This window comes from Homo sapiens, chromosome 8 (genome assembly GCF_000001405.40).
Source record: "Homo sapiens chromosome 8, GRCh38.p14 Primary Assembly".
Lineage (NCBI taxonomy): Eukaryota > Metazoa > Chordata > Mammalia > Primates > Hominidae > Homo > Homo sapiens.
Window position 1 is genome coordinate 144,477,858 of NC_000008.11, and position 24,851 is coordinate 144,502,708.

The following is a 24,851-nucleotide window of genomic DNA, read 5'->3' on the forward strand; positions in this document are numbered from 1 at the left end:
CCGGCCGCCCGCAGCTGTCCGCGTTGGCCCCCACCCCCGACCGTCCCTCCCCAGGCCCCGCCCCCGACATTTCCTCCTCCCAGGCTCCGCCCCCGGCTCCCACGGGGCACCGCGGCTTCCGGCTATGGGTACCGCGGGCCGGAAGTGTAGCGTTGCCATGGCGAGGGCCGGGTGCGGGGCCCGCCCCCGCAGCGCCTCAGGGAGCGCGGGGCCCACTGACCCGCGGAAGCCAGCGGACCCACTTGTGCGGCGGTCGGCGCGGGGCGCGAGGTGAGGCGCGGACTCCCGGGTCCTGCGGCGGGAGCGGAGCGAGGGAGAGGGGCCCCGGCCAGGGAGAGCAGTGGCGGGCCCGGGAAGGAGGGGCACTGGGTCGACACCGAGAGAGGAGGCCGGGCCGGGGAAGGATGAGGCAGAGGAGAGGGAGGAGGCCGGGAAGGGCGGGAGGAGGAGGAGACCGAAGGGAGAGAGGAGGCTGGCGACGGAGGAGGCCGGGGAGGGGCCCTCGGGAGACGCGGCTGCCGGCACGCGGGCGCCCAGGGCACAGGTCCCGCCGGGCCGCCTTGGGCGTTGCTGGCTGAGGCCCAGGGCAGCAGGTGCCAACGGTCAGGAAAGGCAGGGAGCCGAAGGCTGCCGGTGGGCGCTTCGCGTTTTGTTCCAAGGCGAAGGTGTGTGGATTCTCCGCAGCCCGTCGGTCAGGTAGACAGCTCCGGAATTGTCTTCATTTTCAGATGAGGAAATCGAGGCCGCAGAGAAGGGACTTACCCAAACTTAAGCTTTGTGTGGGCCTTGGAGCTAGGCTGAAGGAGAAAGTGGAGTCTCACTGGGGCAAGTTCCTTCAACTTTCAGGGATTCAAATGACCTCACTTGTAGTGCGGGGCGTCCGGACCACCCCTCAGGAATTGGGATCAGGGCAAGAATTACTAACTAAGCAAGCACCCCGCCTGGGAGGGAGCGTCCAGGACTGGTGTGGGCCCCTGTCTGTACCAGAGCGGAGGCCCGGGGCACGGTGGGATTAATTTCCATGGGTGCAGAGAGGGGAGCCGTGTACGGAGTCATTCTAGGCTTAGGGGAGACAGAGCAAAGTTAGCCTTCCCCAAACCTCTGTGCCTTCCTTTTCTTCCTGGATTCCTACCTGGGGGTGGAGGTGGAGGCGGGGGTACCGCTGCCTTTCTCAAAGTGTGTCTAGTCCAGCAGTGAGCCCTCCTGGGCGTCTTGGCGCCCCAGTTGCTTCCTGGACGTATTGGGGTTTCTCTGGGAGAAGGGTCTTGCCTGCAGTACCCTGGGCCTCCTGAAGAGGCCTCTGGTTGCGCTGCCTGATTCAGGGACCCAGAGCCACGACTCGCCGAGAGGAGCTCCGGCGGCGTGCGGCTGGGTTGCCTGAGGGGCTGGGGGCTGCCTGGTGGACTTGCACACATGCTGGCTCCATACCTGTCACTGTGGTGGACGCTCAGAGCTCTACAGGGCCAGCTGCCTGCCCCTGCCCCAAGTCCCCCGGGCTGGGGTTGGGATGGGGGTGGCTTTAGGGGGTCCTTCCCCCTCCTGGTGCTCGAGCTGGATTTCCTCCCTGTTGGCTGGGGCCATCCCTCGTGTCTCTGATTGGCCTGTCCTGGCCTCATCCCTCACCTGCTTGGGATGCACTTGGACTCTGCTTTGCCCCGAGGGTTGCCTGGGCTGGCACCTAGCAAGGGGGCTCCTCCTGTATGACTGTACTTTGGGGTCTGTGTTCTAGGGATTCTTGAACCTCTGGTCTGAATGAACAGCCGATTGATACAGCTCTCCACTGCATGCAGCTTAGGAACCTCAGTCTCAGGTGACCCCACAGACTACCAGCACCCCCAGCTCCACCCTTGCTCTTCCCCGAGCGTGTCCTAACCCTAGCACTTGTGCCACATCTATCCATTGGCCAAAATGAGAACTGGGTGGCAGTTCCAGGCCCTTCTTTCATGCCGAGGCTCTCCTGGCACTGGTGCACGCACACCTAAAGGGAGGCCTTTTCATCAGACTTGCTCAGCCAGGAGCTCAGAGCCTTCCATGTCACATCCTGTGCTGGGACCCCTGTGCCAGAGGCTCAGCAGCTGTTCACTTGTTCAGCTCACTGCACTTACTGAGTGCTGCCTATGAGTCAGGAACTGGCCAAGTTCTTAGGATGCAACAGGGAAACAAACAGTAACTGGCATGTCAAGAATTAAAACAAGGTGATGAGATAAGAGAATGACAAGGTAACCACAGAAGATCTCTGAGGAGGTTGCACTTAAGATGTGATCCGAGTCCCACAAAGGAGCATGCTGTCCTAAGATCCGGTGGAAGAACTTTCCAGACAGAAGGAGCAGCTGATGAAGGTGGCGGTGATGATGAAGCTGGTAGCACCAAATAAATGTGCTAGACCAGGGGTTGGCCAGCTTTTACTGTGAAGGGCTAGGCAGCAAACATTTTAGGCTTTGCTGACCATGTGGCTTTCTGTTTTTTTGTTTGTTTGAGATGGAGTCTCACTCTGTCGCCCAGACTGGAGTGCGGTTGCACAATCTCCACTCACTGCAACCTCTGCCTCCCGCGTTCAAATGATTTTCCTGCCTCAGCCTCCCCAGTAGCTGGGATTACAGGCACATGCTACCATGCCAGTTAATTTTTATATCTTTTTTTTTTTTTTTGAGACAGAGTCTTGCTCTGTAGCCAGGCTGCAGTGCAGTGGTGCAATCTCAGCTCACTGCAACCTCCGTCTCTCGAATTCAAGTGATTCTCCTGCCTCAGCCTCCCAAGTAGCTGGGACTACAGGCGCATGCCACCACGGCCAGTAATTTTTGTACTTTTAGTAGAGATGGGATTTCACCGTGTTGGCCAGAATGGTCTCGAACTCCTGACCTCATTATCCTCCTGCCTTGGCCTCCCGAAGTGCGGGGATTACAGGCGTGAGCCACTGTGCCCAGCCCATGCTTTGATTTTTTACATCAAACTTTATTGAGGTGTAACTTACAGTAAGATGCACCTATTTTAATGGGTTTTGTGTGATGGGTTTTGTTTAATGGGTTTTGTTTGATGGGTTTTTTTTTTTGACGGAGTCTCATGCTGTGTCGCCCAGGCTGGAGTGCAGTGGCACGATCTTGGCTCACTGCAAGCTCCGCCTCCTGGGTTCACACCATTCTCCTGCCTCAGCCTCCCAAGTAGCTGGGACTACAGGCGCCCACCACCACGCCCGGCTAATTTTTTGTATTTTTTTAGTAGAGTCGGGGTTTCACCATGTTAGCCAGGATGGTCTCGATCTCCTGACCTCGTGATCCGCCCGCCTCGGCCTCCCAAAGTGCTGGGATTACAGGCGTGACCACCGCGCCCGGCCTGTTTGATGGGTTTTGTGAACAACGTCATAATCCAAATATAAAACATTTCCGTTGCCCCCAAAAGTTCTCTCGTGCTCCTCTGTGGTAAGCCCTTCCTCACACCCAGCCCAGGCAATAGTGATCGCTTTCTATTACTGTAGGTTTGGCGTCCCTTTTTAAGAATTTCACATTGGCTGGGCGTGGGGGCTCACGCCTGTAATCCCAGCACTTTGGGAGGCTGAGGCGGGTGGATCATCTGAGGTTGGGAGTTCGAGACCAGCCTGACCACCATGGAGAAACCCTGTCTCTACTAAAAATACAAAAAGTTAGCCAGGCATGGTGGCGCATGCCTGTAATTCCAGCTACTCGGGAGGCTGAGGTAGGAGAATCCCTTGAACGTGGGAGGCGGAGGTTGCGGTGAGCCGAGATCGCACCATTGCACTCTAGCCTGGGCAAAAAGAGCGAAACTCCATCTCAAAAAATAAAATAATTTCACATCAATGGAATCATATGGAATGAATACTTTTGTGTCTGATTTATTTTGCCAGATGACAATGTTTTAGAGATTCAAGTGGTTTTGTGTATCCGTAGTTGATTCCCTTTTTCTTTTTTCTTTTTTGTTTTTTTGAGACAGAGTCTTGCTCTGTTGCCCAGGCGGGAGTGCAGTGGCACGATCTTGGCTCACCGCATCCTCCGCCTGCCAGGTTCAAGCAATTCTCCTGCCTCAGCCTTCTGAGTAGCTGGGACTACAGGCGCCTGCCACCATGCCCTGCTAATTTTTTGTATTTTTAGTAGAGACAGGGTTTCACCATGCTGGCCAGGCTGGTCTCGAACTCCTGACCTCGTATCCGCCCGCCTTGGCCTCCCAAAGTGCTGGGATTACCAGTGTGAGCCACTGTGCCCGGCTGCCGCCGCCGCCGCCGCCGCCTTTTTTTTTGAGATGGAGTCTTGCCAAGTGCAGTGGTGTCATCTCGGCTCATTGCAGCCTTGGCCTCCCGGGTTCAAGCGATTCTTCTGCCTCAGCCTCCCAAGTAGCTGGGACTGTAGGCATGTACCACCACACCCAGCTAATTTTTGTATTTTTAGTAGAGACGGGGTTTCTCCATGTTGGCCAGACTACCTGAAGTGATCTGCCTGCCTCAGCCTCCCAAAGTGCTGGGATTATAGGCATGAGCCACCGCTCCTGGCCAGTTTATAGTTTTCTTATTTTTTATTTTATTTTTATTTACTTATTTTTGAGATGGAGTCTTGCTCTGTTGCTCAGGCTGGAGTGCAGTGGCACAATCTTGGCTCACTGCAACCTCCACCTCCTGGGTTTAAGCAGTTCTCCCTGCCTCAACCTCCCGGGTTTAAGCAGTTCTCCCTGCCTCAACCTCCCGGGTTTAAGCATTTCTCCCTGCCTCAACCTCCCGGGTTTAAGCAGTTCTCCCTGCCTCAACCTCCCGAGTAGCTGGGACTACAGGCACATGCCAGCATGCCCAGCTAACTTTTTTTTTTTTTTTTTTTGGGACAGTCTCACTCTATCGCCAGGCTAGAGTGCAGTGATCTAGGCTCACTGCAACCTCTGCCTCCTGGGTTCAAGCGATTCTCCTGCCTCAGCCTCCCGAGTAGCTGGGACTACAGGCGCCCGCCACCACGTCCAGCTGATTTTTGTAATTTTAGTAGAGACGGGTTTCACCATGTTGGCCAGGATGGTCTTGAGCTCCTGACCTCATGGTCCACCCGCCTCAGCCTCCCAAAGTGCTGGGATTACAGGCGTGAGCCACCGCGCCCGGCTTATTTTTTTGTATTTTTAGTAGAGACGGGTTTTTGCCATTTTGGCCAGGCTGGTCTTGAACTCCTGACCTCAGGTGATCCGCCCCCCTCAACTCCCAAAGTGCTGGAATTACAGGTGTGAGCCACCGCGCCCGGCCCAACTTTCATTTCTTTTGCGTATGTACCCAGAAGTAGGATATGCCTTCTTTTTTATGTTGTGTGGCTGACAGAGTTACGTTCTGTTCTGTAACGATGTTCACATGTCAGTCTTTCTATCTACAGAACCAGGCAGTGTGTGTAAAGTAGGTTTCCTCATCTGTGGGTCCAGTGTCCCAATTCCTGCCTCCTACAAATGATGTTCTTGGCTGGCTTCAAGTTCAAAGGCTTTCCTCCTGTTTCATGCATCATCAGTCTCCTTCATCACGTGAATTTTTTGAACTTTGTCATCCTATGTGTTGTGTCGTTCTGTTTTCTTTATTTCTTTTTATTTATTCATTTATTTTTGAGACGAAGTCTTGCTCTGTCGCCCAGGCTGGAGTGCAGTGGCACCATCTTGGCTCACTGCAACCTCTGCCTCCTGGATTCAAGTGATTCTCGTGCCTCAGCTTCCTGAGTAGCTGAGACTACAGGTGCATGCCGCCACGACCGGCTTTTGTATTTTTAGTAGAAATGGGGTTTTACCCTGTTGGTCAGGCTGGTCTCGAACTCTTGACCTCAGGTGATCCACCCGCCTTGGCCTCCCAAAGTGCTGGGATTACAGGCATGAGCCACTGCGCCCGGTCTCTTTTTTTTTTTGAGACAGAGTCTTGCTCTGTTGCCCAGGCTGGAGAGCAGTGGTGTGATTAGAGATCACTGCAGCCTCAAACTCCTGGGTTCAAGCAATCCTCCTGCTTTGGCCTCCCATATGTTGGGATTATAGGCGTGAGCCACCATGCCCAGCCCTTCCCTGTTTTCTTTTTCCTTGGCCACCTTCCCCTGCTCATCTCTCTGCTCTGACAGCTCCTACCATCTTTCCTTCCAACTTCTAGGAATGTGCTGGCTGACTGTGAGCTCTCTTTCTTGGAAATGCCTTTCCAGCTCCTGTCCCAGGCTCACAGGCATCTCAGTGGCTTACTGTGTCACCTGCGCCCTAGGTTGGTTGTCTAGACCCCACACCTCTGTTGTCCTAAGGCTGGGGACCCTCACGGTCCCAGTGCTGCCTCCTTCCACACTCCCAGGCCCTGTGCCACTGGCACGTCTGTCCGCAGGTCCCCTTCCCACAGCCCCACCTAGACCGAAAGGTCTGTGTCTCTGTGAGGAAGTGAATACCGAGTCAGAGCAAATCCTGGGTTACAGCGCCGACCCCTCTGAAGCTCACTTTTGTGATTTTGGTTTCCTCACCATTGTACTTGACAGACCTTAGTTGCCACATCTACTCCGTGGGGGTTATGGCCCATTAGAGCTATGAGGCTGAATGAGGCAGTTCATAGGGAAGGCTGCTTGTGGCCCTGGCTTCTAGAAAGGTGTGATTTGCAGGGGCTGCTAGGAGCCCTCCCTGCCCTCTCTTCCCTTTCTTTTGGTCTAGGGCTGGCTTTTATCTTCAGTTCTCGTTGAGTCTCTTTTCAAATGCAGATGCCTCAGGCTGCCAGCTTCTTTCATTTAGGCATCTGGGCCTTTGACACCTTGCTGTGAGTTAGTTTATTCGATTTATTTTGAAGCCAGGTGGCAAGGGGAAAGGAAATTGAAGAGGGAGATGCAACGCTTCCCCTGGTTTCTGGGGAGAGGCTTCCCCAATTCTCCAGCCCCTGACAGACATTGCGTGAGAGCTCATGGTTAGCGGGCCAGTCCCTGGTGTGGTCCACGCGTATCTCCTGTCCCGGGCTGGAAGCATGATGTGTGCAAATGTCCAAATCACGGGGTCTTCCCTCCCTCACAGGGCTTTAGCCAGGCAGCTGTTACTGAGGTAAATAATGATTTGTGTTTGTAGATAAAAAATAGTGGAATAGTTTCAATTTCATATGGTTCTGCTGCTGGGTGTTATGCAGGGGGAATCTGAGGAGCACTGAGATCACTGGGAAAGAGGCCGGGTGCGTGGCTCACGCCTGTCATCCCAGCACTTCGGGAGGCCGAGGCAGAATGAAGAATCTCATGCCAGGGGCCAGAAAGGAGGCTGAGACCAGAGTGTGAGTAGGAGTCAGCCCCCTCAGAGGTGGGACCAGAGAGGAGGCTCCTTAGGAAGCCATAGTGAGGAGGACATGTGGGACAGGCTCAAGGATTGACAAAAGAACCAGTAAAAAAGAATAGAATCTCAAAAAAAAAAAAAAAAAAAAAAAAAAAAGGCCAGGCGCAGTGGCTCATGCCTGTAATTCTAGCACTTTGGGAGGCCAAGGTGGGTGGATCACTTGAGGTCAGGAGTTCAAGAATAGCCTGGCCGACATGGTGAAACCGTGTCTCTACTGAAAATACAAAAAATTAGCCAGGCGTGGTGGCACACACCTGTAATCCCAGCTACCCGGGAGGCTGAGGCAGGAGAATGGCACGAACCCAGGAGGTAGAGCTTGCAGTGAGCTGAGATTGCGCCACTGCACTGCAGCCCGGGCAACAGAGCAACACTCCATCTCGGGAAAAAAAAAAACAATAGATAAAGAAAAATAAATAAAAAAAGAAAAGAGATGGCTCAGAGATCCCTTGTAGACTTCCCGGGTACCCATGTGGTAACGTTGCACCTGTCAATGGAGTACAGCAGTTCAAGGGGATGTTGACACCAATGTGCTCCATTGACCTTATTCAGATTTCACAGCTTTCCATGTGTCTACCTGTGTGTGTGTGGTTTAGTTCTGCGCATCTGTCACTGTAGGGTTTGTGTGAGCCCATGGCCAAGATGCAGCACAGCCACCATAGGGACCTCTTGAGCTGCCCTCTTGCAGCCACAGCCACCTCCCTTTCCCAGCCTGAACCCCTGAGAGCCACTGGTATGTTCTCCATCTGTATGGTTTCACCATTACGAGAATGCTCCATAAATGGAGTGCTGCAGGGTGTGGGCGTTGAGGTCGGCGTGATGTCCTGAGGTCCATCCAGTTGTGTGCACTACTAGTGTGTTCCTTTGACTGGAGGAAACGTCTATGGTATGGATGGACGGACCATCATGTTTCACCTGTTACAAGACATTTGGTTTTTTCCCCCAGTTTTTTGCTATTATGAATAAAGTTGCCATGAACATTTATGTAGTTTTTTGTGTGACTTAATTTTTTTTATTTTTTGAGACAGAGCCTCACACTGTTGCCAGGTTGGAGTGCAGTGGTGTGATCTCGCGCCACCACACCTGGCTAATTTTTGTATTTGTAGTACAGATGGGGTTTTGCCATGTTAGCCAGGCTGGTCTTGAACTCCTGACCTCATGTGATCCCGCCTGCCCCAGCCTCCGAAAGTGCTGGGATTACAGGCGTGAGCCACCACGCCTGACTTAAATTTTCATTTCTCTGGGATAAAGGCCCGTGAGCGCAGCTGCTGGGTGGTTTGGGAGTTGCATGTTGAGCTGTTTTGGTTTAAGAAACTTCCACACTGCTCTCCAGAGTGGTGGCTGTTTTATTTCACAGGTTTTCATCAGCTCCTGTGAGATTCCTTTGTCCTCACATCCTTGCCGTTTGGATTCGTGGGCAGCGGTATCTCGCTGTGGCTCTAATTTGCATTTTACGAATGGCGGGTGATGTTGAGCATCTTGTCACGGACGCATTTGCCATCTGTGTATCCTCTTCAGTGAGGTGTGTCTTTGCATCCTCTGCCCATTTTCTAATTGGATCGTTTCATTTTTACTGCTGATTTTTTGAGACTCGTGTGTTCTTGACAGCAGTCCTTTGTTCTGTGTGTGGTCTGTGGATATTTACTCACTCAGTAGCTGTCTTTTCATCCTCCTCTCAGGGTTTTTAGCAAGGCAAAAGTTTTTAATCTTGTCAAGGTCCAGTTTTTCCGTTTTCCGTTTTATAGACTGTGCTTTTGCTTTTGGTGTCACCACTCTGTAGAAGTGCTATTATTTTACCTTTACGTTAGATTTGCATTTCACCTGGGGTGGGGGTCAAGATTCTTTTCTTTTCTTCTGTTTTTTTGTTTTTTGATTATTTTCTGTCACCCAGTCTGGAGTGCAGTGGTGTGATCTCGGCTCACTGCAACCTCCACCTCCCAGATTCAAGCGATTCTCCTACCTCAGCCTTCAGAGTAGCTGGGACTACAGGTGTGTGGCACCACAACCGGCTAATTTTTTGTATTTCTAGTAGAGACGGGGTTTCACCCTGTTGGTCTCGAACTCCTGATCTCAAGCAATCCTTCCCCCTCAGCCTCCCGAAGTGCTGGGATTACAGGCGTAAGTCACTGCGCCTGGCCCCAGCACCATTTATTGAAGGCTTTTCCACTCCCAGCAGTGTCATAAATTGCATGTCTACACATGTGTAGGTTTATTTCTGTTTTGTTTTGGGGACAAAACAAAACAGTCAGAGACAGAGTCTTTCTCTGTCCCCCAGGCTGGAGTGCAGTGTTGATTTCGGCTCACTGCAACCTCTGCCTCCCAGGCTCAAGTGATCTTCCCACCTCAGCCTCCCAAGTAGCTGGAACTGCAGGGGTGCACCACCATGCCTGGCTAATTTTTTAAATTTTGTAGAGATGAGAGTCTCCCTGTTTTGCCTAGGCTGGCCTTGAATCCCTGGGCTCAAGTGATCCTCCTGCCTCGGCCTCCCAAATTGCTGGGATTGCAGGTGTGAGCTGCCTCATCTGGCAATTTTCTGGACTCAACCGTATTCCATTGGTTTATTTCTCTATGCCTAAGCCAGTAACTTAGGTCTTACTTACCAAACTGTATATAATAAGTCTTGACATCTAATAGTGTAAGTACTTCAAATTTGTTCTCTTTCAGGCTTATCCCTAGTGTTCTTGGCCTTTTGTGTTTCCATATAAGTGGAGCATTAGCTTGTGAGTCTCACACTGTTGGGGTTTTGATTGGGACTACGTCAAATCTTGGATGAATTTGGGGAGAAATGACATCTTTTCAGTTCTGGGTTTTGCAACATATAACGAGATGTCTCCTCCTATATCTTCCCATAAAGATATGGTTGTGGTTTACTCTGTACATCTTTTGTTAGGCTTATTCCGAGGCATTGAGGCTTTTGGGTGCTATTCTGTTGTTCAGTTCTAAGTAGGAGTGGACATCCTCCCCTGACAGCCTCTGTCTTTCCAGGGAATTTGCTTTGGGAGGGCAGGAGAGAAAAGGCAAGGGAAGCTCTTTCCAGGGGATATGCTTTGGGAGGGCAGGAGAGAAAAGGCAAGGGAAGCTCTTTCCAGGGGATATGCTTTGGGAGGGCAGGAGAGAAAAGGCAAGGGAAGCTCTTTCCAGGGAATTTGCTTTGTCTGGGAGGGCAGGAGAGAAAAGGCAAGGGAAGCAGATTTCTGCAAGCGTCAGAGCCCTTGAGGGAGTGGCTCTGCTATGTTCAGAGTCACTGGGGCTGTGGGAGCAGGAGGGCATGGGGCAAGGTGAGGGCATGGCAGCGAGGGAGGCACTGGAGTGTTGGAGTCAGGGCTTGTAGTAGCGAGCCAGGCAGAGAGGAGGCGATGGGCAGAGAGTGGGATGTTGAATGGAGGTGACAGGCATGGGCTGCAGTTACTGGTGGTGATGGAGCACAGCTGGCCAGAAGATAAGGACACTGGTGTAGAGAAGAGGTCAAGGCTCAGAGGGGATAGGCAGTCCACAAAGGTTTGTCCACAAGAACATTAGACCACCAGGAATTTGGGCAACGATGGGCGGGGGTGAAGCCACAGTGAGGGCTGGTGCTGGGTGGTTGGTGCCTGATGATGTGTGCTCCAGCTGGGATGCTCAGGGAGAGGATGGGAGGGGGACTCCAGGCCTCAGCCAGGAGCACAGGGGTTGGGGAAAGAGGGCCCTCAGTAGGGAGGACATGGTGTCGCTGGGGACAGAGCCCCAGGGGAGGGTTTCAGGATGGAGGGTGGAGAGAGCCTGGATCAGAAGCCCCCTCCTGGCCTGGTGCAGTGGCTCACCCCTGTAATCCCAGCACTTTGGGAGGCTGAGACAGGCGGATCACTTGAGGTCAGGAGTTCAAGACCAGCCTTGCCAACATGGTGAAACCCGCTCTCTACTAAAAATACAAATATTAGCCGGGTGTTGTGGCACACACCTATAATTGCAGCTACTCAGGAGGCTGAGGCAGGAGAATCATTTGAACCCAGGAGCTGGAGGTTGCAGTATTTCATGCCTACGCAGGTGCTTTGGGATGAACTTCTTAGGGTTGGACTGGGAGGGGGGTTGGTCTGGGAGGGGGGTTGGCCTGGGAGGGGGGTTGGCCTGGGAGGGGGGTTGGACTGGGAGGGGGGTTGGACTGGGAGGGGGGTTGGTCTGAGGGGGGTTGGACTGGGAAGGGGGTTGGTCTGGGAGGGGGGTTGGACTGGGAGAGGGGTTGGTCTGAGGGGGGTTGGTCTGAGGGGGGTTGGACTGGGAGGGGGGTTTGTCTGGGAGGGGGTGAGCTGCACACTGGGCCCTGGAGGACACTCAGACCCTCCCTCCTGACCCCATCACCACTCACTCGTCCAGCCACCACTTCCCCTAAACTGCTGCTTCCTTGGAGCAGTCTGCAGGCCCCGGGGATGCCCTGTGTGTAGGAAACTTAATGCTGGGGCCTCCCTCCCAGAGCTTCATGTGGCTGCAGAGGCCCCTCCAGAGCCTCCTCTTCTGCCCTGTACACCCCGATGCCTTCTGTGCTGACCTCAGTAGACGTGGTGTGACGTGCTGATGTGCATCCTGCAACTCAGCTCCAGTCCCCAGATGTAGGCTGCTTAAGTGCAGGGCCTCCTCCCACTGTCCCTCCCCAGGGCGCAGCCAGACAAGTGCAAATGGAGCCTCTCCAGCAGCCACCAACCTGCTTTATGGCTGGTGCTGTCCTTGTCACATTTCAGGAGGTCTCTAGACATTTGGCTTCTTTTCAGAGTGGACCCTGTGAGCCGCGGGCCATGGGCCATAGGGAGCCTTGGCCTGAGCTTGTCCCCTCCTTGGCCGCACTGAGCTGTGCCTGCCTTGCCAGCATCTGCCTGGCTCCCTCGGTCCTTCACAAAGACTGATGAAGGCCCCTTTTCCAGGTACTGGCACACGGATGAGGAGTCGTAGAAGAGGGGCCTGCAGATTGTGCTCTCAGCAAGCCTGTCGTCTAGTGGAAGACACTGGCCGGGACACAGAGCCCACGTGTGGACACCGCTGTGGGTTGGTGGCAGGGGTCGAGCAGGTGCCATCAGGCACATGAACGGTGGAGTCTTCAAAGGTGAGCTGCTGGGGCCGGGCGCGATGGCTCACGCCTGTAATCCCAGCACTGTGGGAGGCCAAGGCAGGCAAATCACCTGAGGTCAGGAGTTCCGGACCAGCCTGGCCAACATGGCGAAACCCCGTATCTACTAAAGATACAAAAATTAGCCTGTGTGGTGGTGGGCGTCTGTAATCCCAGCTACTTGGGAGACTTAGGCAGGAGAATCACTTGAACCTGGGAGGTGGAGGTTGCAGTGAGCCAAGATCATGCCACTGCACTCCAGCCTGGGTGACAGAGCGAGACCCTGTCTCAAAAAAAAAAAAAAGAAAGTGACCTGCTGTCTGCCCAGCCAAGGGCTGGGGAGAGACCAGCAGTCTGGCTGGAGAAGCCTCCCATCCAGCCTTCCAAATGAACGGTGAACAGTCACTCTGGCGGGACATCCAGCACTGGGGTTGGTTATAGCTGAGGTGAGGCATGTCTCCAGAGACTGCACCTTCAGAAGGTCAGCAGTCCTTCTGAGAGTCCAGCACTGCAGCCACTAACCCCCAGACAGCCTCTCTGCCCATGCAAATAAGTCTGGCCAGGCATGGTGATGCATGCCTGTGATCACAACACTTTGGGAGGCTGAGGCAGGAGGGTCGCGTCAGCCCAGGAGTTTGAGACCAGTCTGGGCAACATAGGGAGACCCCAACTCCACACACAAAAAAGACAATAACAAATTAGCCGGGTGTGGTGGCGTGCACCTCCCCAGCTACTGGGGAGGGTGAGGTGGGAGGATCGCTGGACCCCAGGAAGTTGAGGCTGCAGTGAGCTGTGACGGCAGCACTGCACTCCAGCGTGGGGACAGAGCAAGACCCTGCCTCAGAAGCAAACAAAACAGAATCAAACAAACCAGTCTGTGTGTGTATGTAACACCTTTAGCCAGGCTCTGGCAGCCTCTGCACCCACGGGCAAGATACCATAGCCATTCTCCCATGGACATTGAGACCCACCTCATCTTGTTAACAGACGTATATGTATAGATGTTATTCTACAGAATGGCTACACAGATATTTTTCCCAGAATGATGGGCATCTAGGTATTTTCCCATTTTTTGCTCCGTATCTCATAGATATTGCTACAAATAAAATCAAATCTGGTCGGGTGTGGTGGCTCATACCTATAATCCCAGCATTTTGGGAGGCCAAGGCATAAGGATTGCTTAAGACCAGGAATTCCAGACACCAGCCTGGGCAACATAGGGAAACACTGTCTCTACAAAACAAATTAAAAAATTAGCTGGGTGTAGGCCGGGCATGCTGGCTCACACCTGTAATCCCAGCACTTTGGGAGGCTGACATGAGCAGATCACGAGGTCAGGAGATCGAGACTATCCTGGCTAACACGGTGAAACCCCATCTCTACTAAAAATACAAAAAATTAGCTGGGTGTGGTGGCAGGCGCCTGTAGTTCCAGCTACTCGGGAGGCTGAGGCAGGAGAATGGCATGAACCTGGGAGGCGGAGCTCGCAGTGAGCGGAGATTGCAGCACTGCACTCCAGCCTGGGCGATGGAGCGAGACTCTGTTTCAAAAAAAAAAAAAAAAAAAGTTAGCCGGGTGTGGTGGTGCCCACCTATGGTCCCAGCTACGTGGGAGGCCAAGGTGGGAGGACTGCTTGACCTTGGGAGGTCGAGGCTACAGCGAGCCGTGATTGCACCACTGCACCCCAGCCTGGGCAATAGAGTGAGACCCTGTCTCTTAAAAAACATAATAAAAAATCAACAACAAAACAACCAAGTCTTTTAGTTATAAGTTACAGGAACCAACTCCACCAAGCCTAAGCATAACTGGGCTATTAAAGCCCCCAGAGCCAGCTGGAGGGCAGGCAATGTGGGGGCGCTGGGCTGGCCCCCAGAACCAGCCGGAGGGCAGGTGGTGTGGGGGCACTGGGCCAGCCCGTCACTGCCGGGGCTCCCGTGCTGACCGCCCAGATGCCACCCGCTGCACTGTGGCACTCGGGCTTTCACCCTGCGATGTGCGGCCAGAGGGCAGGCAGGCTCACTTCCCTCTGGCTCCCCAGCACTGTGAGTCCCTCTAGCTGACCTGCTCTGGGGGTTTTAGTAGGGTGGCGTCCTAGAAATGGGGCTGTCAAAAGGTGTACTTTTTTTTTTTTTTTTTTTGATAGGGAGTCTCTCTCTGTCACCCAGGCTGGGGTGCAGTGGTGCGATCTCAGCTCAGTGCAAGCTCCGCCTCCTGGATTCAAGTGATTCTTCTGCCTCAGCCTCCCAAGTAGCTGGGACTACAGGCGCCTGCCACCCCACCCAGCTAATTTTTTGTATTTTTAGTAGAGATGGGGTTTTACCTTGTTAGCAAGGATGGTCTCGATCTCCTGACCTCGTGATCTGCCCACCTCGGCCTCCCAAAGTGCTGGGATTACAGGCGTGAGCCACTGTGCCTAGGTGCACATTTTAAGTTTGGAGGTGCACCTTACTGAGGTGCACCGTACACACATCCCTGTGAAAGGGGAGCCTACAGCAGGTCCCCGGCCTTTCGCTCCGCCTGTAGAAGCAAGTTCCCATCCTCTTTCTGCACCCTCCTCACCATTTCTCTGAGACTCTTCCTTCCCCTGCCCCTTTCCTCTCTTTTCTTTCTTTGAATGGCATGCGGCCTCTACCTGTCCCTTGTCCCTATCTCTGGGTGAATAGAGTGACACCGCCCCTCAGGCTGTGGGCTCTCGTCGCACCATGGACACTGGGAGATGGGTACTGTGGTAAAGTAGTGACCGGGGCAGCTCTGGGTTTAGGCTTGGCCTTGGTCTCCCCATGTGGAAGATGGGGTGATGGCAGGTGCCTGAGGCAGTGATGGGAGTAGAGAGGGCACTGAGGCTCTCGGGCCTGGAGCTGTCCTCACGGGGGCTCCTGGGAGCTTGGGCTGGGCCTCCCTTCCTGAATCCACATGGCCCAGCGGTATGTAGGCAGTGAGGGGACGGTGGGTGGGGGTCGGGGACAGTGCCCAGTATCCTCCATGGGGCTCCTCCCGCCTGGGTCCCACACTCAGGCAGCTGGCCTGGGCTTTGAGGAGTGGAATGAACCCACCGGGTTATCTGTTTAGAACTGGAATGAACCGACCCGGGAATCTGTTTGACATTCCAAGGAGGTTTGGGGGAAGGTTTGTGGAGTAGAGGGAGCCGCCCTGCCCAGCCCCCTCAGCCTGGGTGTGTCCATTTGGTGGGACTACGAGCTGGCCACCAGGCTCTCATGGCTCAGCCAAGGGGCAAGTCTTCTCAGCTCTGGTGGGCTGTTCCTGGTCCATCTTGTGGCTGGGAGGAGTAGACAAAGCTTCCACTAGAAGTTCTGCTAGGGCAGCCAAGGTTCAGGTAGGAGGGAGGCAGTCTTTCCTTCTGGAGCCCTCAGCCCACTGCCGTGGGCCTTCGGCTGGCTGCTTCCTTCTGAGGGTGATTCCTGGGCAGGGAGGCCAGAGGGGGACGCTTAGGGCTCAGCCTGGGGGGAGGTGGGCACTGGGACACCCCCTGGCACCCACTCTTGGGGGGCCCTGGGCTCACTTTGGGTACCTCGTTTTCTCTTAGAGGAGGCAGTTGGACCCTCGAGCAGGACAGGAACCTGCCCAGAGTCCCATGGAGACATTGGGCAGCTTCCAGCTAGGAAGGTGGGCCTGCTAGGGTGGGGCCAAGTGCCCTGTGAGCCGTGCTGGGTGGGGTGGGGGAGGTAGAGCCTCCCCGCCCGTGGGCCTCCCTCTGCAGCCAGGGGGACTGGGGGGGTTCCCACTGTCCAGCTGCTGTTCTCTGATGAATTTTCACGGATGTGCCTCGGAATGAGAAACAAGACAGGCGTTCCGTCGGGAGTGTGGCTGCCATGCTCAGGCTTTCTCTTCTGTAGGACATGGGCAACAGAACATCTTTTTTCCTTTTTAAAAATCTGTTTTAATTTCTCTTACATTAATTATTTTTTAAATAATATAAATTGAGATGGGGTCTCGCTGTATTGCCCAGGCTGGTCTCGAACTCTTGGGCTCAAGCGACCAGCCTGCTTAGGCCTCCCAAAGTGCTGGGATTACAGGTATGAGCCACTGTGCCCCGCCGATCTTTTGTTCTGTAAGATGCTGGGGACAGTAGGTGGTGTCTGTTAAATCTTTTTTTTTGAGACAGGATCGCCCTCTGTCTGCCAGGCTGGAGTGCAGGGTGTGATCTCAGCTCGCTGCAGCCTCTACCTCCCGGGCTCAAGGGATCCTCCCACCTCAGCCTCCCGAGGAGGTGGGACCACAGGCGCATGCCACCAGCTAATTTTAAAATTATTCTGTAGAGACAGGGTCTTACCCTGCTGCCCAGGCTGGCCTTGAACTCCTGGGTTCAAGTGATCTTACTACCTTGGCCTCCCAAAGTGCTGGCATGAGCCACTGTTCCCTGACGGTTAAATCTTAATCTTTCCTTCCCGTGGCTGGAGAGAGACTGGGGATGGGCAAGGGCAGCCTGCCTTGCTCTTGGCTTGTGATCTCTTTGGGTTGGGGTGGGGGTGAGTAGCTACTGCCCAGGTGGGTTCTCTGGCAGGTCCAGAGATGCTAATGACAGAAAGGTGAGGATCTCCTCTTGCCAGCCCTGTCAGGAAGAGGGTGTGGGCTGTGAGTGGCTGGCAGGGAGGGAGGGCTCTGGCATGCCAGGTGTGGTCTGCCTCCTCTGTCCTCATGGATGCGGACCTGGCAGCATGCCTGCAAGACTGGCTCTCCTGCCTCTCTGGTACCCATGCTGTGTCTCTAGAGGGCAAGGGGAGGACTTGGGAGCCTGGGCAGGGTGTCTGGCCAGTGTGTGCTTGCCCTGGCCTCTGCGGTCTACAGAGCTGGCCAGGCTTAGGAGCAGGCTGCTCGGAGGGAGAGTTACTGCCTGGAAAAGCTCTTTACTTGGCAGGCAGAAAGCCAGGTCAGGGCCACTGGCCTTATTGGCCGTGTCCTCAGGAAGCCTCTGAGGCTAGGCCTACAGGGGGGGACTATGTCTAGAGTAGGCTGAACCTGTAAAGTGGGGCTCCCAGATAAATTGGGGGCCCCTGAGCAGGAAGGACCTGACTGGCTTAATTTGACCTGGCCCAGGACAGTTCCCTTTCTGAAAGAAGGGGGCATTCTATGAAACACCTGGGTAGAAGTCCAGCAGTGAAGAGTTGGGTCAGTGTGTAGATGGCCATGAGGCCTGGCTGGGTGGAGAATAGGACTCCTGGCAGGCATCTTCTGCAGAGCACGGAGTGCCTTCTTTCTTTTCTTTCTTCCTTTCTTTCTTTCTCGGAGTCTCGCTCTGTCACCCAGGCTGGAGTGCAGTGGCGTGATCTTGGCTCATTGCAAGCTCTGCCTCCCTGGTTCACGCCATTCTCCTGCCTCAGCCTCCCGAGTAGCTGGGACTACAGGCACGTGCCACCACGCCCAGCTATTTTTTTTGTATTTTTAGCAGAGATGGGGTTTCACCCTGTTAGCTAGGATGGTCTCGATCTCCTGACCTCGTGATCCACCCGCCTTGGCCTCCCAAAGTGCTGGGATTACAGGCCTGAGCCACCGCGCCTGGCCAAGCACAGAGTGCCTTCTGAGGTGAGGCCTGTGGCCAGCCCAGCAACCACACTTAGTGTGTCGGGCAGGACTAGGGCCATAGCAGGTACATAGGCAGGGTTGTGCCCCAGCCGAAGCTGTCTGCCTGCCTGTCTGTCCCCATAGGCCTCAAGCCAGGCACCAGGTGGGGGCTTTTATTGCAGCCTAGGATGGCAGAGGCATTGTGGGAGCCCATCAAGGAAGAGGTCTAGAGACTGGGCAGTGAGAGGCTGGGGTATCAGTCAGGACAGGAGGAGGCGGGGCCTACCCTTGGAAGGCAGGAGAGGTGGAGGCCCAGGAGGCGGGGCCTGCCCTTGGAAGGCAGTAGCCTGCAAAGCCCTCAAGGCTGTTCCACGAGACCTCACCCTGCCCAGCCTTAGGGCAGCGCCTGGCCCTGGAGGAGCAGCCTAGCAGGGAACGCCTCGCTGGGGTGGGCGGCCCTTTCTGGAAAGGGTGGGTGGGAGGAGCCTGACATGCCTTTCCCCCGCCCCTCTCTGAACCTGGGGCAGAATGGGGGCAGAGTAGCTCCCCGTACCCCCAGGACTGTTGACCTGCAGTGCTCTCTGTGGACAAAGGGTGGGCCTCACACAGGGCAGGACCTGAGACAGCTGGAAGCCTGGTCTCACCTGAGGCCCAGGGCAGGGGCTCCCCCGGGCCACCCTGCCTCAAGCCGGCCTTGATATGCTTCCTTGTTCCCCACTTCTCAGGTGTGAGCAGCTGCTGGAAGAGGAGGTGCTCCTGAAGACACTGCGGCCGGCCCGCCTGTGCCCTTGGTGCCCTGGCTGCCTAGAGAGCCTCACCCCTGGGCCCTGGGGCCAGGACTCCAGGACTCTGACTACCTGCCCTCCCCCAGCCTCAGCGGCTGCACCTCCTCGTTAGTACTGATGCACTGACCTCGGCACACAGCTGGGAGGGGTTGGGGGCTGGGTCATGGCTGCTCCCAGGCCCCACCCAGGCTCCTGAGCCTAGAAGGTGAAAAGAGGACTCTCAGGGGCTCACAGGGGCTCTCACTGCTGGTTGGCCCTGCCCTCCCTTCCCCCTCAGCAGGGTGCCCGGAAGCTGGAACCTTGTTATCTGGGTAATTAGTTTCAGACCCTGCACTGAGGCCGGCCAGGTCTCGGGGCTGCCTCCCATAGGTTGTGCACCCTGACCCCGAGAGGGAGGCGAGGCGCTGCTTGTCGACAGCTAGAGGCTGGCCTGGGGAGCAGGTTTGGGGTGCCCTCCCACACTGCCCTCCCTGCCCCGGCCCATGCCCCCCAGGGCTGCCTGGGCCTGGTTATTGTGTGGGGCCTCCTGACCCAGCCAAGGGCACGAAGCTCTGGGAAGGGGATGCCCCCGAGGGTGCCAGTCCAGCTAGCTGCCCCACCCCTCAGGCCCAGCCTGGCCCCCAAGCTCCCCACTCTGGTGCCCCGAGCAGCCCTGTGGGCAAGCAGCCGCCGCCATGGCCGAGCACCTGGAGCTGCTGGCAGAGATGCCCATGGTGGGCAGGATGAGCACACAGGAGCGGCTGAAGCATGCCCAGAAGCGGCGCGCCCAGCAGGTGAAGATGTGGGCCCAGGCTGAGAAGGAGGCCCAGGGCAAGAAGGGTCCTGGGGAGCGTCCCCGGAAGGAGGCAGCCAGCCAAGGGCTCCTGAAGCAGGTCCTCTTCCCTCCCAGTGTTGTCCTTCTGGAGGCCGCTGCCCGAAATGACCTGGAAGAAGGTGAGTGTGGCTGAGCCCAGAGCAGCTCCCAGCAGACGGCCCACTCCCTGCTACCTGGGTGCCGTCTCATGCCAAGGCTGGGGGCTGGGCCTGTCCACAGCTCCTGGGCTCCAGCCCCCAGATCTTGCCTGGTCTCTTCAGGCTGGGTGGCCCAGGGTGCCCCCATCAGGCAAGCCCCAAGCAGTGGGCAGCCCTGAGGTGAGCCTGTGCGGGACAGCCGTCCTTCAGGCGGGGGCTGCATGCAGAGGGCTCCTGCTGTGAGGTGAGCTGAGGCCATGAGTGGACCCCCAGGAGCCTGCAGAAAAACCTAGTGCGGGGCCCCACGGGAGCAGGGGTGGCCGGTAGTCATTGCTGCTTCTTGTTAGGCTGCTCAGGAGAGCCCTGGTCTCCACCTCCGTGAAATAGGGTGGGACCAGCCACCTCTGTGGGTGAGAGAGCCAGGCCCTGGGCAGGCACAGAGCTATGCAGGTGGCCCCCTCTCAGTGCCTGCCCTAGGCTCTGCTTGTGACTCTCTTCTCCTCACCTGTGCCCCACGCTTGCAGCCCCAGCTGTGTGGGTTCCACTTCTGGTGCTCTGGAGTCTTGGGGGAAGAGGCACTGTGGTGGCCCTTGAGACTCCTTCCTGCCTCCCTCCGGAGCAGAGAGTAAAGAGGAGCCGGCAGTGTCTGGCCTGCATCTTTCCATGTGGACAGGAGCCCTCCCGGGAGGCCTGGAGGCAGAGGGAAGAGGCGGAGGGTGCCATGGTCCACAGGGAGCTGTGGGAAGGTGGGAGCCCTCCTGCTGCACCCCAGGCACCGTCAGGGAGAACCCTGGTGACCTGGGCGAGAGCTGGGCCCGAGTTGGGATCTTTGATGGGGAGGGGAGTGAGAGCAGGGATGTGCTCTGGTGGTGGGGAGCCTCAGGTCAGGTCCCAGAGGACCCAGGAGAGCTCATGAACACAGGGCTGGCAGGTTGTCAGGGAAGAGCCGAAGGAGCTGTGGTAGCCTCCAGGCAGGGAGCTCTTCCTGGGCTGGAGGGAGGTGTGGGATTGTTGGAGTGCTGCTCTCACACAGGAGCACGGCCTGTTCTGGGGGTCGGAGGGCTGGAGCACCACCATGAAGGGCCTGCAGGTGGGTGGAGGCAGAGGGCTTCTGGGAGTGTGACCGGCCTGGGCCAGACAGATGCCTGGTGCTTCTGCCCCCACCCCTGGGCTCTGGTGTGCCTCCTGCCATCGGCACCACTGTCTTCCTTGTCCTTCCCTGGGTCCTGGGCCGAAGCACAGTTGACAGGACCTGACCAGGGGCAGGACCCTGTCCTCACCTCGCCACCTTTTTGCAGTCCGCCAGTTCCTTGGGAGTGGGGTCAGCCCTGACTTGGCCAACGAGGACGGCCTGACGGCCCTGCACCAGGTCAGCCTGCACTGGGTGTGGGCAGGGTGGGGGCTGGCCCCCGTGCTCTGGTCGCTCACGTGGCACGGTTTGCAGTGCTGCATTGATGATTTCCGAGAGATGGTGCAGCAGCTCCTGGAGGCTGGGGCCAACATCAATGCCTGTGACAGTGAGTGCTGGACGCCTCTGCATGCTGCGGCCACCTGCGGCCACCTGCACCTGGTGGAGCTGCTCATCGCCAGGTAGGGCCTGTTGGGCGTCCTTGGCAGGGAGAGGCTTCCTCTCAGATGGCCGCTCAGGAGGCTCCTCTTGGGCAGTATCTGTGGCTCTCGGCCTCCTGTGTTCCCGCCTTCACCTTTGCTGACCCTGCCTGTGTCCTGGCATGGAGAGCAGGGCCTGGGGCTCCAGGGGAATGGGCATGTGCCCAGGGCAGCGCGGTCCCTGCCTCCCCAGCATTCGTCCTCCTGCCGAGAGGGCAGGCCTCGGGCCCCCCCCCAGAGTGTGCACAGAGAAATGTCTTGGTCAGTGAGGAGGGCAGAACTGCTAAGGAGGGAAGCAGAGTGAGGAGGCCAGGTGGCTTGGGAGGAGAGGGTACCTGAGCACAGGTAGGGCCTTTACCTTTAACACAGAGGGACGTAGAGCGGGGGGAACTCTGAGCAGGGAGGGTCCATGAGCCTCCTCCCTTCCCCTTTGCTCCAGGCATCTGTAGTGGGAGAGAGGTCAGGGCTGCGGTCATTCTCGAGTGCCCCTGTGAGGCCGGGTGGGGTGTGCATGGCGGTCGCGTCACACACAGGCGCTGCGGGGCAGGCGGGGATGTGGGGTGTCCACAGGTAGGCCTGCTCCTCCACTGCACACAGACACCCCCTTCTGTGTTCTGGGCTCCCCTTCACCGCCCTTCTTCCCTGGGGCCATGCTCCCCACAGCTCAGCAGCCCCTCAGCGTGGCTGCCTGGTCCTGCACCCCCGCCACCCTGTGCTCCCTGCTCCCCAGCAGGCAGGCCCATCCAATGCATGTTTATGGGGGCACCGCTGCCCCTGGAGGTGCCAGGAACCTGGATCCCTGGATGGATAGAGACTGCAGGAGGCCTGTCTGGCTTAATGACAGGATCTAGGACAGCCGATGGGCCCCAAGGCTGCCTCTCCCAGCAGCAGGTGGACAGGGTGCCTCCTGAGGGGCAGCCCTGGGCTGAGGGGCCCTGGCGGGGACTTCTCCAAGTGAGGAGCCTGGCAAGCGGGGAAGGGCCTTGTGCCCAGCACCCCGTCCGTCTTCCCTGCAGTGGCGCCAATCTCCTGGCGGTCAACACCGACGGGAACATGCCCTATGACCTGTGTGATGATGAGCAGACGCTGGACTGCCTGGAGACTGCCATGGCCGACCGTGGTAGGTGCGGCGGTGCGGCTGTGGGAGGGCTGCCGGTCGCGCTCCCTCTGAGCCTGCCGCCTCGCAGGCATCACCCAGGACAGCATCGAGGCCGCCCGGGCCGTGCCAGAACTGCGCATGCTGGACGACATCCGGAGCCGGCTGCAGGCCGGGGCAGACCTCCATGCCCCCCTGGACCACGGGGCCACGCTGGTGAGGGCTGGGGGGTGAGGGGCACACGGGGCTGGGGGCCTCGCTACTTGGAGGTGGGGGATGGGGCCGAATTCAGGCCGGGCGCTTGCCTGCAGCTGCACGTCGCAGCCGCCAACGGGTTCAGCGAGGCGGCTGCCCTGCTGCTGGAACACCGAGCCAGCCTGAGCGCTAAGGACCAAGACGGCTGGGAGCCGCTGCACGCCGCGGCCTACTGGGGCCAGGTGAGTGCGGGCGGGAGCAGGTGGGAGGGGGCTTCCAGCGCAGCAGTCTGCAGCTCCGGCCTGCCGTCCACAGGTGCCCCTGGTGGAGCTGCTCGTGGCGCACGGGGCCGACCTGAACGCAAAGTCCCTGATGGACGAGACGCCCCTTGGTGAGCTTGCGGGGCCCACCTCCACCTGGGGGAGAGGACAGGCGGGGAGGGCGCCCCTGACGCCTGCGCCCACTTCTCAGATGTGTGCGGGGACGAGGAGGTGCGGGCCAAGCTGCTGGAGCTGAAGCACAAGCACGACGCCCTCCTGCGCGCCCAGAGCCGCCAGCGCTCCTTGCTGCGCCGCCGCACCTCCAGCGCCGGCAGCCGCGGGTGAGCGCCGCCCCCAGCAGGCCCCGCCCCGGGCTTGGCCCCGCGGACGTCAGCCCCGGGCGGAGTGCCAGCCGAACTGGGGGCAGAGTCCGAGGGGGTGGGCGGGGTCCTCCGGGCACTCCCCTTCCCCTCACTCCCTCTCCTCTCTCCTCCCCAGGAAGGTGGTGAGGCGGGTGAGCCTAACCCAGCGCACCGACCTGTACCGCAAGCAGCACGCCCAGGAGGCCATCGTGTGGCAACAGCCGCCGCCCACCAGCCCGGAGCCGCCCGAGGACAACGATGACCGCCAGACAGGCGCAGAGCTCAGGCCGCCGCCCCCGGAGGTGAGCGCCCCGTCCCTGCTCCGCCCAGCGCAGGGGTGGGCCTGGCTCTGCCCTGGTTCTCTCTCCGCTTGGACCCCCTCCTGCCTGTGTCAGGAATGGTGCCCTGCAGGGGCCAGCTTTTGCCCCATCTCTCCTGTCTGTCCCTTCATGACCATACAGCCTGAACCCAAGGCCAGGGAGGGGGGAGGAGCCTCCTGATGGCTCTGGGACCTTCACTGCCCGCAGGAGGACAACCCCGAAGTGGTCAGGCCGCACAATGGCCGAGTAGGGGGCTCCCCAGTGCGGCATCTATACTCCAAGCGACTAGACCGGAGTGTCTCCTACCAGCTGAGCCCCCTGGACAGCACCACCCCCCACACCCTGGTCCACGACAAGGCCCACCACACCCTGGCTGACCTGAAGCGCCAGCGAGCTGCTGCCAAGCTGCAGCGACCCCCACCTGAGGGGCCCGAGAGCCCTGAGACAGCTGAGCCTGGCCTGCCTGGTGACACGGTGACCCCCCAGCCTGACTGTGGCTTCAGGGCAGGCGGGGACCCACCCCTGCTCAAGCTCACAGCCCCGGCGGTGGAGGCTCCCGTGGAGAGGAGGCCGTGCTGCCTGCTCATGTGAGGCTGTTGCTCAGCATGCAGGGGCCCTGTCGCGGGCACAGCCCAAGGCTGCCTCCCCACGGTGCGTGCCCTGGTGCTGCGGGTGCAGCACGGAAACCCCGGCTTCTACTGTACAGGACACTGGCCCCTCTCAGGTCAGAAGACATGCCTGGAGGGATGTCTGGCTGCAAAGACTATTTTTATCCTGCAACTCTTGATAAAGGGCTGTTTTGCCATGGAGCCTCGTTGTGTGTTGTGTGTCTCAGCTGGGTCGCTGTCCCACAGTGGGGAGTGGGTTGTGCTGTTTGGCTGGGGTGCCACCCGTGCCTGTGAGCATGAAAGCCTGTAGGTGCGCGCTGGGGCATGTGGCAGCCCTGGCTGTGTGGGAGTGAGGCTCACAGCCACTGGGCTGGAAGCCTGGGCCTCACCCACTCCCTCCCATGCTCAGCCTCCTGGAGCCTCCTCCGTAACCCTTTGCTCTCCTGAGAGGAGCCAGGTGCTTTGAAGGAGCCTCCATGGGGGCCAGGGCCTAGGGTGTCTGTGCTGAGGGGCGGAAGGTGGGGGTCCCAGGGACCATGGCTTGGAAAGGGAGGTGGTGTTTTCCACAAGACTCTTGTGTCAGAGCCAGAGGGGCAAAACAAGCACAAGGCTGTGTCAGAAGCTCCCTGGGGGGGTTGTGGGTCCCCAGTTCCTGGCACGCAGCCTTAATCCTGGGGCCTGGCTGCCAGCTTCCGCCTGGGCTGGCATAGGGGACACGCAGTTGGCCACTCTGGCTCTGAGCTGGCTTGGCACAATGTGTCAGGGTGAGGGGGCCCCTTAGGGGCCTC

At 57.7% G+C, this 24,851-nt stretch overlaps 1 protein-coding gene and 1 long non-coding RNA gene across 30 annotated transcripts in view, besides 6 other annotated features; one reads left to right on the top strand and one right to left on the bottom strand.

Annotated features, from left to right (window-relative positions):
• Positions 1-430: a silencer, noted in NCBI's record as "silent region_19696". NCBI's record gives its function as "represses an Ori minimal core promoter by ATAC-STARR-seq in GM12878 lymphoblastoid cells {active_cell/tissue: GM12878}" and the evidence as "EXISTENCE:reporter gene assay evidence [ECO:0000049][PMID:35858748]".
• Positions 125-24,264, top strand: PPP1R16A (protein phosphatase 1 regulatory subunit 16A). Of its 25 annotated transcripts, XM_047422341.1 has the most exons (15): positions 125-270; positions 11,234-11,307; positions 12,177-12,355; positions 18,604-19,436; positions 19,553-19,596; positions 20,139-20,360; positions 20,913-20,983; positions 21,059-21,204; positions 22,239-22,342; positions 22,410-22,534; positions 22,630-22,755; positions 22,829-22,904; positions 22,985-23,114; positions 23,272-23,437; positions 23,663-24,264. In XM_047422341.1, exons 4-15 carry the CDS (start codon positions 19,411-19,413, stop codon positions 24,044-24,046), a joined length of 1,620 nt encoding a protein of 539 aa, XP_047278297.1. In that variant the 5' UTR covers positions 125-270; positions 11,234-11,307; positions 12,177-12,355; positions 18,604-19,410; the 3' UTR covers positions 24,047-24,264. The 25 variants fall into 25 exon arrangements, with proteins under 25 accessions (XP_047278297.1, XP_047278290.1, XP_047278306.1 ...); XM_047422334.1 differs by lacking the exon at positions 11,234-11,307 and adding an exon at positions 729-825 and having other exon boundaries at positions 18,604-19,596; XM_047422350.1 differs by lacking the exons at positions 11,234-11,307; positions 20,139-20,360 and adding an exon at positions 729-825.
• Positions 6,413-7,112: an enhancer, noted in NCBI's record as "OCT4-NANOG-H3K27ac-H3K4me1 hESC enhancer chr8:145709653-145710352 (GRCh37/hg19 assembly coordinates)". NCBI's record gives its function as "activates a minimal SCP1, AML or CMV promoter by ChIP-STARR-seq in naive and primed H9 embryonic stem cells {active_cell/tissue: H9 hESC(naive and primed)}" and the evidence as "EXISTENCE:reporter gene assay evidence [ECO:0000049][PMID:30033119]".
• Positions 7,113-7,812: an enhancer, noted in NCBI's record as "H3K27ac-H3K4me1 hESC enhancer chr8:145710353-145711052 (GRCh37/hg19 assembly coordinates)". NCBI's record gives its function as "activates a minimal SCP1, AML or CMV promoter by ChIP-STARR-seq in primed H9 embryonic stem cells {active_cell/tissue: H9 hESC(primed)}" and the evidence as "EXISTENCE:reporter gene assay evidence [ECO:0000049][PMID:30033119]".
• Positions 12,031-12,530: an enhancer, noted in NCBI's record as "H3K4me1 hESC enhancer chr8:145715271-145715770 (GRCh37/hg19 assembly coordinates)". NCBI's record gives its function as "activates a minimal SCP1, AML or CMV promoter by ChIP-STARR-seq in primed H9 embryonic stem cells {active_cell/tissue: H9 hESC(primed)}" and the evidence as "EXISTENCE:reporter gene assay evidence [ECO:0000049][PMID:30033119]".
• LOC101928953 (uncharacterized) overlaps positions 16,233-24,851 on the bottom strand; it is an 11,385-nt gene continuing 2,766 nt past the window's right edge. Inside the window, exons 2-5 of one of the 5 annotated variants that reach the window (XR_007061149.1) lie at positions 21,581-21,665; positions 21,043-21,339; positions 20,120-20,304; positions 16,233-19,586 (exon numbers count right to left, since the gene is read on the bottom strand). This is a non-coding gene — a long non-coding RNA (uncharacterized LOC101928953). Of the gene's footprint in view, positions 19,587-20,119; positions 21,666-24,851 lie in introns of all 5 variants that reach the window. The other 4 variants (XR_007061148.1, XR_007061147.1, XR_007061150.1 and 1 more) reach the window with 4 other exon arrangements.
• Positions 21,959-22,620: an enhancer, noted in NCBI's record as "H3K27ac-H3K4me1 hESC enhancer chr8:145725199-145725860 (GRCh37/hg19 assembly coordinates)". NCBI's record gives its function as "activates a minimal SCP1, AML or CMV promoter by ChIP-STARR-seq in naive H9 embryonic stem cells {active_cell/tissue: H9 hESC(naive)}" and the evidence as "EXISTENCE:reporter gene assay evidence [ECO:0000049][PMID:30033119]".
• Positions 22,988-23,347: a silencer, noted in NCBI's record as "silent region_19697". NCBI's record gives its function as "represses an Ori minimal core promoter by ATAC-STARR-seq in GM12878 lymphoblastoid cells {active_cell/tissue: GM12878}" and the evidence as "EXISTENCE:reporter gene assay evidence [ECO:0000049][PMID:35858748]".